At 42.7% G+C, this 15,204-nt stretch overlaps 1 protein-coding gene across 36 annotated transcripts in view; it reads left to right on the top strand.

Moving 5' to 3' along the window:
* CLASP1 (cytoplasmic linker associated protein 1) overlaps positions 1 to 15,204 on the top strand; it is a 311,687-nt gene that overhangs the window by 123,537 nt on the left and 172,946 nt on the right. For all 36 annotated transcript variants that reach the window (XM_047443792.1, XM_047443782.1, XM_006712383.2 and 33 more), the window contains 2 exons: positions 6 to 81; positions 10,164 to 10,261. In XM_047443792.1, coding sequence (XP_047299748.1) covers positions 6 to 81; positions 10,164 to 10,261 — 174 coding nt within the window. The remainder of the gene's footprint in view (positions 1 to 5; positions 82 to 10,163; positions 10,262 to 15,204) is intronic.

Raw genomic sequence — 15,204 nt, 5'->3', positions numbered from 1 at the left:
TTCAGCTCTGGAGCACAGACTTTAACACTAAGCAAGATTGTGCCACATATATGCAACTTACTTGGAGATCCAAACAGCCAGGTGAGTGAGAAGGAAAACCCTCGGGAGAAGTCATTGCTTACAGACTGTTGAGATGCATTCTGGTGTTCCGTAGTGGGTGGGACTGGAGTCCTAATCTTCACAGAACACTGATGATTATTTAAGAGATCCAGTACCCATTAGCATTTATAAAATATTTATACATTCAAATGTATAAAATAAGTTTACATTTAAGTATAAAATTGGTAAATGTGGTGGCCAGTCTGTCCTCTTCTATACACAGGGCTGAGAAATCACTAGCCTAGAAATTGATGTTATCCAGACCAGCCTCCAAGATAAGATGTCTGGCCACCACCTCTGCAGCCAAAAGGGGTGGTGCCGGGGGTGGAGGTGCAGAATCTGCTGAGGTTGGGGAGAATGATTGAAAGAGGGTCTGAGGGGAATTTTCTGAGGTGATGGGAATGTTCTACATTTTGCTTTGGGGGGTGGCTCCACTGTGTATATCATCGTGGAAACTCCTCAACTGAACCCTTAAGAACTGCAGACTTTACCTAAATTAACAAAAAGTACCACTTCCTCAGTGTGAGGGTAGGAGAGGAGCTGGCTGTCTCACCTGTGAGTTACCAGGCAATTCACAAAGTTGTACAAGTCTGGGCTGGAGAAATAGCATTGAACTCTCCTCCCAGTTCAATGCTATTTCTCAACCAGAGTCATTTTTATTATGTCATCTCATACAAACTGATAAGAATGATACTTCATTAGAAGAAGGGACAGAAAATGGAACAGTAATTTACAAGAGAAATATATATGGTCAGTGGCCTCTCCTGTGAAATCTTGGTTGATAACTGCTAAGTTACCCTCCCAGGAGGTTGTATCAGGCTGGCCTTCTACCCGACCTCCCCTGGCCTCTAGCTCCCCTGAGTCGGCACCCCTCCCCTCTTGCTCTCCAGGCCCTTTCCTTATCGTGCTCTTAGTTCCAGCAGCAGGCGTCTCTCCCTTCTCTTTGGCTGTTGTGCTGCTCCTTCCACCCCAGCCTCTCCCCTCCTCACTGCCTGTCGTCTGCTGTCTCCCTGCTTTCTTCTTCCACTCACGCCCTTTTTCAGCCTTTGTTGAAAATATATAGCATTAGGCCGGGCACGTGGTGGCTCATGCCAGTAATCCCAGCACTTTAGGAGGCCAAGGTGGGTGGATCACTTGAGGCCAGGAGTTTGAGACCAGCCAGACCAACATGGTGAAACCCCATCTCTACCAAAAATACAAAAATTAGCCAGGCATGGTGGCGTTCACCTGTGATCGCAGCTACTTGGGAACCTGAGGCACAAGAATCGCATGAACCTGGGAGGCAGAGGTTACAGTGAGCCAAGATCGTGCCACTGCATTCCAGCCTGGGCAACCCAGCAAGACTTTTTCTTTAAAAAAAAAAAAAAGGAAAATATATGGCATGGGAAATAAATGTTTAGACATTTTTATTTACTTAATCATACTTTATATTCAACGTTAATTTAAAAATAAATTGTACTATTTTTTAAAAAGATTCTAAGTTACCAAATAGATTATCGTTTTGTATCCTTCCTCCCTTTTGGTTTTGTTTCTGTTTTTGTTTTCCGTGGGAAAAATCCTTTATAGAGGCCGCACTCTGGGGGTTTCGCTGCCGCCACATGGAGTGCTCTAGCAGAGCAGAAAAGCCAACTTGCTGAGGTGATTCTCTCCTCATTCAGTTGCTGACTTTGGCCAGACAGGTGATGTGAATGTTCACACTGCCTGTGGAGATCTTCATACCTGGGGTGGGCGGTGGAGGGCTGTCACCTCTAAATGCACTTCTGTGGTGGGGCAACATAAAACCACAGCCCAGACCGACACTAGCCAGAACTACAACAAGGGACGTTGTCTAGAGTCTGGTTTGGGGAGGGGAGCACTGCATGGCTGTGCACCACACTGCAGTCCATCCCACAGGGTCCCCTCACTCACCCCCATTTCCCCTTCTTCCTCTTTTTCTTCCACATATATTTAGCGAGAGCTCATGCTGTGGGCCTGTCTTGTCTGTGTGGATCCTTGGGCTTTTTGGGGAAGGGGATGGAGATTACTAGCTTGATTTTGCTTCTGAGCCTCAAATTTTGCTTCTGCAACTGAGGCGGACCACATCCTCCAGAGGAAAGTGAAGGAAATGCCTCATTGTCCTAGGGCTCTTCACTGATGAATAACCTCAGTATTTCCCCGCCCAAAAGATCATGGACTCGGTGTAGATTTTAAGAGACATTGGGAGTGGAATGTTAAGCATATTTAAAATTTTGAATGGGTACATTCTCATCCTTGAAGCTATTCAGATAAGCCTTGGAGAATGCCCTACTCTTCACAGGTTTTCCTTTTCTCTGAAGTTTTCTGCTAGAGGAGGTCTCACTTAAAAGTTCCCTAAAGCTTTGGTAGAAAGGAGACAGGAAGGGCCTAGTCTGTTTTTGTGTTGGGCTACTCTCTGATACTATTTTTCTCCTTTAGATCTAGGGTTAACTTGTAAGGTCTCTAGGGATTTTAACAAGATTTTCTTTATTTTAGAAGTACACAGATTAAATTTCAAATGATCAGCACAATCCCACATTCTCAAAATGTAGATTCAGTTGTTTAAGAGTTTAAGATAATGTCGAGTCTTTAACAGTTTGACATACTGTTTTAAAGTTGCCAAAAGGCAGAGTATGTTTAATATTAATACTTGAGCTACCTGACGCAATGTAAGACACCTACGTTAAAGGCATAGATCCCTGCTTTGCATGTAATAGCTGACCTTGGGGTCACTTGCATCTTGAGCCTCAGTTTCCCCTTTATAGTGGAGTCAGTGGGAAGTGCCTCACCCCTCAATCCTTATGAGAGTCCTTGCAAGTGAATATTCTTAGGTGCTGGTGTGACCTGTTGGTCTAAGTAGAAGACTCTCAGAAGGCCAAGTTACTCAGTAGTCTCCTCATCATCTGAGATGGTCATTTTCATTTGCAGAAATCATGCACCTACCATGTGCCAGTGGGTTTCTGAGAAACTCAGCTGTATAGTGCTTTAAATATATGAAAAACCTTAATTGCAGGATAGCCTTAGTGTCTTGAGATGTATTTGTGATATTGACATAGCCATACTTACACCAAACATTGGCAGCCCTGGAGTAGACTATACACATACTGCCATATACCAGACACTAGTTTCACTACCAAAAATCAGGTGCTCCTGGACTGATTATGGGGAATAATAATAATAATACAACCGAAAAACAAAAGTAGTACATTTAAATGGATTACATCTTACTGCTGTATAAATCATAAATAGATTGTATAATTTTAAAAATGATTTATGAAGAAGCAGAGAGATAGTTTTTTAAAATAAGATAGAAAATGTGAGACTTGTCTAAAATGTTTCATTAAGCCAAAAATTCAAGTTAGCACTTCCTGCCTAGTGTCTTTAATGGCAGTTATACTTTTTGTGCCAGGAAGCCCTAGGCTTTGGTCAGGAGTTTGGAGCCTATAATGGTTTTGTGGGCTGAGTTCTAGGCCTGTGTGTCTGCTTTTGAGAAACTTCTTATTATTTGTTTTGTTTTTTCATTTCCCCCACCTCATCCATAAGATGAGGTTGGTACTCTACGGGCAGCTTTCAGTATTCTGTAGTAGACAGGATTTACAGCTAGAGTATTCCAAATTGAGCACTCTGAAAATAATCCATATATTCACATGTGCCTTAGGAATGTTTTGTCCGCACATATATTTGCACACGTGCGCGCACACACACACATACACAGACATACAATCAATCCATGTCTCCCTTCTGCCAGGAAGTTCTGCCACCTACCTCCCCGATACTAACCAAGTTAATTATTCCTGCTTCTGGGGTTCTTGTGTAGCTTGCATGTGCTTTTGCTGTTGCCTTTATTTTAATTTTTTCATTAATCTTTCCTACTAGTCTCTGAACCTCTAGAGTTAAGATTATAACTTGTTCCTCTTTGCAGTTCCCAATGCCCCATAACTATTTGAATGACTTTCCCTTATTTGCCAAGTCTCAGACCAGAGAGGACACTGTTGTATCAGTGTTGTCTCTGCACTTAGACACCTGACCTAGTAGTCAGCCTCCAGCTCTTCATTTCCCTAAAGCCAGTGTGCGGAGAATCCTCTCTCAGCTCTTCAGGCAGCGGCTAACAAAGACTGGATTTGGTGTTTAAAATTAACTTGGCAAGTGTTCGTTTCCTTGGTGGTCCGAATGCAGTGACTCAGAGCAGGGAGGCCTTTCAGAGTGGGCCACAGGTGCACAGTGTGTGTGGGCTAGGATGCTTTTGGTTACAAGTAACTGAAAGCCCAACTCAGAATCATTAGAGCAGTGGGGAAATGTGTCATTCTGCATGACGTAGGAAGTTTCCGGGATCTGCCAGTAGCTCGGAGCCGGAGTCTTGGGCACCTCAGCCTGTGTGCATTGCCTCCTAGAGCTCTCAGCACAGGCACAGCACCGGTACCACACGCACGGTTGGCCTGGCAGAGAGGAGGCTGCTGCTTTGTGAGCTCCTCTTCTGTTTTCAACTTTCATATCGAAAGGTTCAAACATACACGTAAGCAGTGAGAGTGCCATAAAGCGTCCCCATGTGCCATCAGCTCATTCGACAAGGCCAGTTCAGTTTTGTCTTCTTCCCCTCCTCCACCCCATTATTTTGAAGCAAAAGTTAGATTATGTTGAAGCAAATCTTAGACCACATTTATTTAACTCTTAAATATTTTAAAAGATAGACTTTTTTTCTTCAAAAACATAACCTTAATACCATTGTCACCTCCTATGTCCCGAGAATCAGCAGTTCTCTCCTATCATCAGATACCCAGCCAGTGTTCACTTTTCCCTGAATGTCTTTTTCCAAGAGCAGAGAAATGTTTTCTAGAAGCTTTCCCACAGATTCCCCTCATGTTTCATTGTTGGAGAGTTGCATTCCGTGCCCCTGTGTGACCCAGCTGCTGGGAAGGGACAGAATTGTGTGATGGCTGTACACTAAGGATGTACCTCCTGAGCTGAGGGAAGCTTTTCTTCCTGGAGGTGGGGATTTCAGTACGAAGTCTGTGCTTGTTGATGAGGACAGGGCAGTGGCTGTAACAGAGGCAGCCAGTGGTCCGAGGCATCCTAACAATAAGAATTCCCTTGACTAGATAAGAAAAGCCTGAGTTCTGCCTGAAGACTTTTGATTTCATCTTCACAGCACCTCACCTGCCCTTTTGCAGGCAGGCTGGCAGAGGGTTGCATCCAGTGGGACTCCCCATGCTGACTGCTGGCCCTCTTGTTGAGTTTGGTTCAAAGCCTAAAACATCTTGAAACATATGACCATTGCTAATTCCATGCTGTCTCCAGCTGGACAGAGCTCAGGAGGAGGGAGGAGCACCTCTGCTGCTGGCTTGACAGAGCTTCCATGCGGCCCTGCCACAGTTGCAGCCTGGGAGCCAGGGGTGGGCTCTTGGGCACAGCTGTGCTGGGGTGCTGGGGTACCCACGCTCCAAGGCACTGGCTGTGGGGCTGTGCTGGGTTCTAGGAGGACAGGGTGGATTTAGGGTCTCATCAGTTTATAGACTGCTTCCCTGTCCCCCACCCTAGGGCGGAAGCCTTCCTTTGAGTTTTTTGCTTTGCAGGAAGCCTTTATTTTGGCATCCACATTAAGGTGCAGTGTGCTGGTGAGAAGGATGTTGACTTGCCCCCAGAGAGGTGCTCCAGCCTGCCATTCCTGATCTGTGGGCATTGGGCAGGTGACTAACCTTGCCAGCCTCTACACCCTCCAGTGTGCAGTGACTATGAGGAAGGAAGGAACAACATGGTCAGACGTTGGAGACCTTAGATTCTGTAAAGCATACATATAAGACCTGGCAGAGCGTGCTGCATGTATGGGGCTCTTGTCTTTTTGCAGTCTTCATGGCCTGACACATTGTGGTGCCTTTCTGTGGTGAGCCTGAGGGGTCAGCAGGGAGAGGCAGTGCGAGACCAGTGAGAGCCTGTGTAGAAGTGAATAGCTGCATTGTCCTGCAGTCTCAGCTGAATGGCTTTTGTTTAAACCTCTTCTCTATTAGAGTGTCCTACTTTGCAGTACCAAAGAATACCTGTTCATCTGCAGTTCTTCAGTGAAGAATAGTTTAGACCCCTAAATGCTATCTGACCCTGTAACTTTCTAGGTCTAAGGAACGATTATTTTAAAGGATAAAGATGTTGGTTTAAAAGATAGAGATAACACTAGCCGTTGTGTTGATTGCTTTATAGATACAAACTATAGGTCACAAACTGCTGGCATAAAGCTGGTTTCAGCCTGTAGATTTGTGGGTGTGTGTATGCTTGTGCCTGCAGAATGTTTTAATTTTACATTTTGAGTTCAAATGAGTTTATATTTGGGAGACTTATATTTTTAACTTTTCTTGAAAGGGTAGAAGGCCTGGTAAAGCTGTGCTACCATTCCTCTGTGGCTGGGTGGTGGTGGCCCATCTGCCTGAGCACCTTATCCCTCTTCTGTCCCTGCCTCCAGGGTTCCCTGCCAGTGCCATTTGTCACCCTGCACTCAGCCTGCTGCAATCACTCACTCCTCATGTCACTGCCTGGCCTGTGTAGGCGTTTCAGTTCATTTTCACCTAGTAGGCACTCAAATATTTGTTGAATGAAACTGTTATTTCTTTCAGTCCTCAGAGCAACCCTCAGTTTACAGAGGAGGAAATTGAGACCAAAGGAGTTCTAGTGTTTTGTCTAAGGTTACACAGCTCCCTAAATGGCCAAGTAGGTCCTTAAGTCTACTTATTAATATTTGACTCTAAAGCTAGTAATTTTTCCAGTAAATCTCTTAAACGTTTATGGCCCAGACTTTCTAAGTAGCTGCCTGGGTATTGATTGTTCTTTAAAGAGATCACCCATTGAGATTTGCTCTGAGCAGATGTTATCCCTAGAAACTAAGCAATGGTGATACACTTTAATAGTATTCAAGGTATAGTAGCATTGACTACTTCTGTAATATATGCATTTTTCTTTTTTTCTTTTTCTTGAGACAGCGTCTTGTTCTGTCACCCAGGCTGGAGTGAAGTGGTGTAATCTCGGCTCACTGCAACCTCTGCCTCCTGGGTTCAAGCGATTCTTGTGCCTCAGTGTCCCAAGTAGCTGGGACTAACAGGCGCTCGCCGCCATGCCCAGCTAAAGTTTTTTTTTTTTGTATTTTTAGTAGAGACGGGGTTTCACCATGTTGGCCAGGCTGGTCTCGAACTCCTGACCTCCAGTGATCTGCCTGCCTCGGCCACCCAAAGTGCTGGGATTACAGGCATGAGCCACCGCGCCCGACCGCATTTTCAATGTAAAAATATTCCCTAACATTAGAAATTATTTTTTTCCCTCAAAATAAACTGATAATCTGTGTTTGTCAGCTCTGGCTGCCATAACAAAATGCTGTAGACCGAGTGAGTTAAACAACAGAAATTAATTTTTTCACAGTTTTAGAGGCCGGGTTCTGGTTGGGGCTCTCTTCCTGGCTTGTAGATGGCTGCCATCTCACTATGTGCTTATATGACCTCTTCTGTGTGTGTACCCAGCTCTCTGGCTTCTCTTATGAGGACACTAATCCTCTAATTTTAGGGTCCCGCCATCATGACCTCATTTAACCTTAATTGCCTCCTTTTTTTTTTTTTTTTTTTTTTTTTGAGACGGGGGTCTCGCTCTGTCACCCAGGCTGGAATGCAGTGGTGTGATCTCAGCTCACTGCAACCTCTGCCTCCCGGGTTTAAGTGATTCTCCTACCTCAGCCTCCCAAGTAGCTGGGATTACAGGTGTGTGCCACCACGCCCAGCTGATTTTTGTATTTTTTAGTAGAGACGGGGTTTCACCATGTTTGCCAGGCTGGTCTCGAACTCCTGACCTTGAACTCGCCTGAACTTGAACTTGCCTGAACTCGAACTCCTGAACTTAAACTCGCCTGCCTGGGCCTTCCAGAGTGCTGGGATTATAGGCACGAGCCACCATACCCAGTTACCTCCTTTTTCTAAAAAAAAAAAAAAAAAAAAAAAAAAAAAAAAAGCTTGAGTCTTGCTTTGTCTCTGAGGCTAGAGTGTGGTGGTAGGATTATAGCTCACTGCAGCCTCCAACTCCTGAGCTTGAGTAATCCTCTTACCTCAGGCCCCCCCAAGTAGGTAGGACTGTAGCTGAGTACCAACTGGCCCAGCTAATTAAGAAAAATTTTTTTTGTAGAGATGGGCGCTCACTTTGTTGCCCAGGCTGGTCCCAAACCCCTGGGCTCAAGCTGTCCTCCTACCTTGGCCTCCCAAAGTGCTGGGATTACAGGTGTGAGCCACCATGCTCGGCCCTTAATTGCATCCTTATAGGCCCTATCTTGAAATATGTTGGAGAGTTAGGGCTTCATCATTTGAATTTTGGGGGCACACAGTTCAGTCCACAGCATGAGGTTTTGGGTGACAATATAGCCTAAGATTTGCCTTTTTCCACTGGAAGAGATAAAAATTATGAGTAAAGTTACCTGTCATGTAACACTGTTAAATCAGAGGACTCCCTTCAGTATTTCAAATTGTAAATTTTTGCTTGTATTCCTGCTTCTTTTCTCTTCATTCTCCACTACCTTGATGTTGTACTCCCATCTTTGCTTACTGAATTAAGCACAGTCTCCCCAACACCACCTGGCCTTGGTTCCATTTTATGTTTTAAAAATGTTTTTCTTCCTACCTTTTTATTTGCAGATTTTTTAACATACAGAGAAAGTGAGTGTATTTACCAGTTAACATTTGTTACATTTCTTCTGTATCTCTGTGTACACACATACATACATATACAGACACATACTTTTTTCTTGAGCCATTTGAAAGTAACATGCAGATATAATGATTTTTTTTTTCTTTCTGAGACAGAGTCTTGCTCTGTTGCCCAGGCTGGAGTGCAGTGGCACGATCTCAGCTTACTGCAAACTCCGCCTCCAAGTGATTCTCCTGCCTCAGCCTCCTGAGTAGCTGGGATTACAGGTGCATGCACCACCACGCCCGGCTAATTTTTTTGTATTTATAGTAGAGACAAGGTTTCACCATGTTGGCCAGGCTGGTCTTGAACTCCAGACCTCGTGATCTGCCCGCTTCGGCCTCCCAAAGTGCTGGGATTATAGGCGTGAGCCACCACGCCCGGCTTATGATGATATTTTTAACCCTAGACATATCAGTGTGTATGTATCATTTAATAACAAAGATATTTTCTTATATTAACGCATGTCATTTTTCTCACCCTGGAAATTTAACATGGATACAGTGATGTGTAATATACAGTCCGTATTCAAATTTCCCCAGGTTAGAAAAAAAGTCTACCCTGTCTCTCACACCTTATTTCGTATTTCATGCTGCTTTCTTAGTTTGATCTGGTCTGGCCAGACCGGCGTACTTCCTCTTCCTGAAGCATGTGCCGTGCATGTCTGCTTTCGTGCCTTTGCACAGGCTGTGTCTTATTCGGAATTCGCTCATTCCATCTGGACCTGGTGAAATCCTGCTGTTCCAAGCACTTCGCAGTGGTTTCTTCCTCATATGGCATCCCTTGACATCCCCTAATGTGATTGCTCCCTTCTTTAAACCACAACCTCTTTATGCTCTTGAATAATGTTTATTCCATCATGCCCTGTAATGTAGACTTTTAGGACTTTTTAAAAATCTCCTTCTTAGGACTAGGGGCTTCTTGAGTATGGGACTTCATATGGCCTGTACTACCCATTTTTGTTGCTCATTAAGTATTTGTTTAATTGACTTAAATCCAGAGTGTTTTACATGGTATTTTATTTTTAGTATCATTTATTTATTTTTAGTGTTGTTTCTTAATTTGGAAAGATGGTCTGAAAATTCCAGTTTTCCAAAATTACCTTAAAGAACGGAAAGAACTAAGGATATGGACTTTGCCGTGTATATAGGGATGGGGGTCCCACAGTTTTACTACCGTTTGACATTGTATCAGCAAAGTGAAAACTGTCAAAACATGGCTTTCTCTAGACAAATGTATATAAGGATTGTATTCACAGTTGCACTGGTAAAATGGTGATAAATTGGGGTGGTATATGGCCTGTTGTGTCCCAGCAGGACTTGCTGGGGGATGACACAGAGCAGCTGTAAGATCTCTTCTTTTATATCTAGGTTCGAGATGCAGCAATAAACAGCTTAGTGGAAATTTACAGACATGTAGGAGAACGTGTGAGGGCAGATCTCAGTAAAAAAGGATTGCCACAGTCCCGGTGAGTGCAGATTTTTTCCTTTCTTCTGCTCTACCCAACCCCCCGCCCCCTTTGTTTTCCAGTTAATATCTTGATTTGCAATACTTTTTCTGTTGTGGTTATTTTATTCAAAGAATATAAGGTTAGAGGGTAGTTGGAGATTTTATCCAGATCATACATCAGGGGTCCGCTCCCATTCCAGTTCCTCAGAAATGAGAGTTTCTCACTCAGACAACTGGCCAGGTCCCATGCCACATACTGATTTTAAAAGCAATTGGTATTGAAAAATTCAGCACTCTTACAGTTTTATGGTTCTGTATCTATGATTCTGTATCTATATCTGTACAGACAGCACTTAGTATAGTAGGTGCTTAGAATATATTTGAATGAATGAAGCCATTCCAGAATGTGTTTGGATAAAAATTCATAAGTTATAATTTTGGAAATCATGTTTTAAATGTAACTTTCTGTTTTCATGTCATTCACAATGTGTATAAGCCCATGCAAGGGGATCAGCGTCTCATCAGACCCAAGACAATTGGAGTCCACAAATGCGACTTTGTTATAGTCCAGATTTTTAAAATAATGTAGTGATCAGATATGTATAATTTTAACTGTGATGGAGAAACTTAACACCAAATTAATTCCAAACTTTTACCCTGGGTCATTCCTTTAAGGGGGAAAGTAATGTTAAAATTCCAGATAGAACTGGAGTGGACTCACAGGGCAGCTTATCTGAGCCTGTCATTTTGTCCATGGAAACCCCAGAGGCCTAGAAACATGAAGTGACTTTTGAGAGATTACACAGCTACTAAGAGAGAGAACCAAGTTCAAAACCCTGTTCTTCTGACTTGCCTTTTAATTTTCTCCGTCCTGTTTCACAAAAGAGTTTATGGCATACTGGGCATCTGGAAATGGGATGGAATATTGAAATATACAGGAGTCAACTGTCTTGATGTCTCTAAGGCAAACATGACGGCAGTGGGCCCCAGACCCTCAAGTGGTGGCTCCACGGGCAGACAAGTGGACTGTGCTTCCTTGTGGTTGAGAGTCATGCCTGATCTGGAATTGCTCTCACCATCTGTGCACAGGATGATTAGATGGGAATAAAACTACTTTTCATGTTCTTTACAAAAGATAATCTGTGATAATAGTTTTTTTTGTTTTGTTTTTTTTTTTTAAGTTCCTGTGTTTTGTGAACCTCAGCCTTCTGGTCTTTGAATATATGGTGAGAACACAGGAGGAAAAAGAACTCAATAGCAATACTAAACAATCTCTTAGGGAAAGTTGGAGGGCACAGATGATCAGGGAAGGCATGATATCAAGGGAAGGGACTGTTTAATGACGAAGTCACCGTGATTGTTGGGAAAACAGGTCTCGAGAGTGAAACCCTGCCCTGCTGCAGGGATGGCCTCATGCCATGCTGTGTAACTTGATGTGACCCCAGACCATGAATCCACCATTTTACACAGTTTCCATCTTAACAGGAGGCTTCCTCTGTGTTTTTGGAGGGTAACCACAGCAAACTAGCAAATCAGGGGGAAATGACATGGTGAAACCGAGATCTAGAGAGGTGAGTGCAGGAAAGAGTTAATGCAGCTGGCCTGAGACTGCTTTCCTTAGAAAGGCCTGCTTACAGGCCTGGCCCCATGCTGGTGTCTAGAAATGTGGATTTGGGGAGGGCCCCCACCATTCCCAACAAGTGGAATAAGAGTGGCTCACTGTGTCAAACTGCACAGCACAATTTGGTTTATGCTGAATACCTGCTTTCCTTCTGAGAGTCTGGCATTTTGTTAAGTGCCAGGCAGAGGGTGTTTACATGACCAGCCCCCAGGAAAAACCCAGGGCACTGAGTCTCTAAGGAGCATTCCTGATAGAAAGCATCTCACTTGTGTTGTTACAACTCACTGCTGAGGGATTAAATGTGTCCTGTGTGACTCTACCAGGAGAGTCTCTAGGATGCTTGCCTGGTATCCTCTGGGTTTCACCCCATGCATCTTTCTCCTTTGCTGATTGTGCTTTGTATCCTTTTGCTATAAAAAATCACAGCTGTGACTATGATTGTGCTGAGTCCTGTGAGTCTTCCTAGTGAACCAGTAAGCCTGGGGGTGGTCCTGGAGATCCCCAACACAGTGGGACCTCAGAGGCCTGGATGCCAGAGCTGGAGTTAAAGCCACCTTTTCCAGCTTCTCAGTCACATGTTTCTCAGGTTCTTCACATGACCCCCTCCTTCTTCTCTTTAAAAAAAAAAAATAAAATAAAAAAGGCGCTACAAAAGAACTTGGACCTCTGAATAGAAATGAGGGTTTCTGCTAGCTCACGTTACCTAAAATCCTCCTACAAATTCTCCAAAACGGAGAGGGTATTCTTAGGGAAATGGACCCACACCCTTCACATCCATATTGTGACACTTTGGCATACACGAGTGCTTGGAGAACTATGCTGTTCTTTAAAAACCTTACTCTAGTGAGAGAAGCTGAAACTTCAAGTTTCCTTGCATTTACTACAAGACAGTTACCTAAGATCTAGAACTCTGAGGGGCAGAGGCTCCAGTTACCACCTTTGTTTTTGTGCCCAAATGGAATGAGGCTTTTATGGTATCAGAGAACTTCAGTATCTGCTATATGTGGCTCCACGTGGGTGACTGGATTACTTGAATAGTCGAGACTTCTCTTACATCATTATAGATTTTTTAGTAATTTTGTGAGCATAGATTTTTCAACTTAGCAAGCTTCCATAGGACTATTACAATATTGTAAAATTTGCTTAATGCTTTCCAAAATTGGATTTAGTTCTAAATTAAAAATGTCTTCATAAGGGTTTGTTCACCAAGAGAGTATGTTGAGAAGAATACGATTAATTATATCTCTAAGAAATACGTGGTGAGGAAAATGCCTTAGTGAGATCACCTAAATGACTTAAATAGCAAGAGTAGTAATCCCATTCAAGCAACAATTTTCTTTGTCCATTTCGCAGTTGAGAAAAGAGACCTGTACAACCAGCTTCACTTTGGAGGAGCTGGAATTAGGGATTAGGGCCATTTGTTGTTATTTCAGTCTTCTCTTCTCGTGGCCAAAATCTTATCGAGCCAGATAATAAAGTGGAGGTAGTTAACAAAATCTTCATGTTAGAGGGTCTCCCTGCTTACATGGGGTCTCAGAGTAGTTGAGGCCCTAAAGGTATAGAATATTTGACCATTTAACATGGTTTTTACATGTATTATTATAGTTCATGTATATATGTTCAGAAAATAAATAACTTCTAGCCATCATAAGATATCATGTAGTTGTGTGATACCCTGTGAGGCATGCTTGACAACTTAATAAAATGTTAACTCTTTGTTACTTTCATAGACTTTTAGCATATCTTGACATTCACTCTCATCCCATTGAGTCTTCTAGAAAATATTTTTAGTCAGTATCACATATTTTAGTTTGCAGAGTGTTGGGAAAAAGGTCACTTATGTTAAATTTCTTCTGGGATCATCATTTGGGAACCAAGCTTCTAAAAAGCAGTGGCTTTAAACCTGAAGATGATTTAACTTATAGACAGGGCTGAGACATAGGTCACTTGATTCATTATAACTATTTGGTAACTTACATTGGGAACTACTTTTTTAAAAAACACATTTCATAATATTTACTCGTTTGCTATCTATTTTAAAATTTATAAACATTCATCAGGTTTTATTACTTAATGATTGTTTCGGAAAGGGAAAATTGGTACTTTAAAATTTTTAACTTGCTTGCTAAAGCTTTAGTGTTAAAGAGAACCCAAGGTGAAAGCAGATGATAAATTGCTCTGAGACATCACTTATTTTTAATTTTATTTTTTGTCATAGTTATTTGTACACACAGAGATTCAACTAGATTTATAAGATACATTTTTGAAAAGACAGTTCCTCACTCTTTCTGCCTTTTTCTGCTCCTCAGAGGCAAACGCTGTCAACTGTTTTTATTGATCCTTTTGTTATTTACTGTTCTCCTAATAATTGGCAGGTATTGCTATTTAAAAATTTTTTGTCACTATAAGAATTATACTTTTCACTATGCAGGCTGAATTTCAGCTCTCTCTCTCTCTCTCTTTTTTTTTTTTTTGAGATGGAGTTTCGCTCTTGTTGCCCAGACTGGAGTGCAGTGGTGTGATCTTGGCTCACTGCAACCTCCACCTCCTGGGTTCAACTGATTCTCCTGCCTCAGCCTCCCGAGTAGCTGGGATTGCTGGCATGCACCACCGTGCCTGGCTAATTTTGTATTTTTAGTAGAGACGGGGTTTCTCCATGTTGGTTAGGCTGATCTCGAACCCCCGACCTCAGGTGATCCACCCGCCTCGGCCTCCCAAAGTGCTGGGATTACAGGCATGAGCCACTGCCCCTGACTGCTCTCTTTTCTCTTAACCTCTCTCATATATACTTCCAATCTCCTCATCTATCAAATAAAGTCATATTTTAATTTTGGTAAGGACAACATATAGTTCATATTATGATTATGAATGCTATTTACAGTTCACTATTAATATTTGGTAAACTATGATTACCTTTTTCTTACAACTTTTTGTTTTTCCTGGAGTTAATAACTGTTTTAGTTTCATTTGTATAGTTGTCTGTATACTTACTGCATACTCATACTTTCTACTTGCTAACCTCTCTGCCAGTTGTGTAAGTCTGTGAAGCCTGTTTCAGCCTGAACTGGCTGCCTTCACTGCCTCTTGCAAACCCATCATCCTGACACCTCTTTGTCATCCTGGGTCTTTGCTTCACCTTTCTCGGCAGGTGCATCTGCTGTTTCTTGGAGACTAGGCCTTTTCTTTCTTGGTTCATTCATTCATTCATTCATTCGTCCATTTATTTAATTTTTAAAATTATTTTTATTTATTATTATTATTTTTTGAGGCAGGATCTCTCTCTGTTGCCCAGGCTGGAGTGCAATGACATGATCATTGCTCACTGCAGCCTTGACTTCCTG

This window comes from Homo sapiens, chromosome 2 (genome assembly GCF_000001405.40).
Source record: "Homo sapiens chromosome 2, GRCh38.p14 Primary Assembly".
NCBI lineage: Eukaryota > Metazoa > Chordata > Mammalia > Primates > Hominidae > Homo > Homo sapiens.
This window is presented reverse-complemented; position numbering and strand designations above follow the sequence as displayed.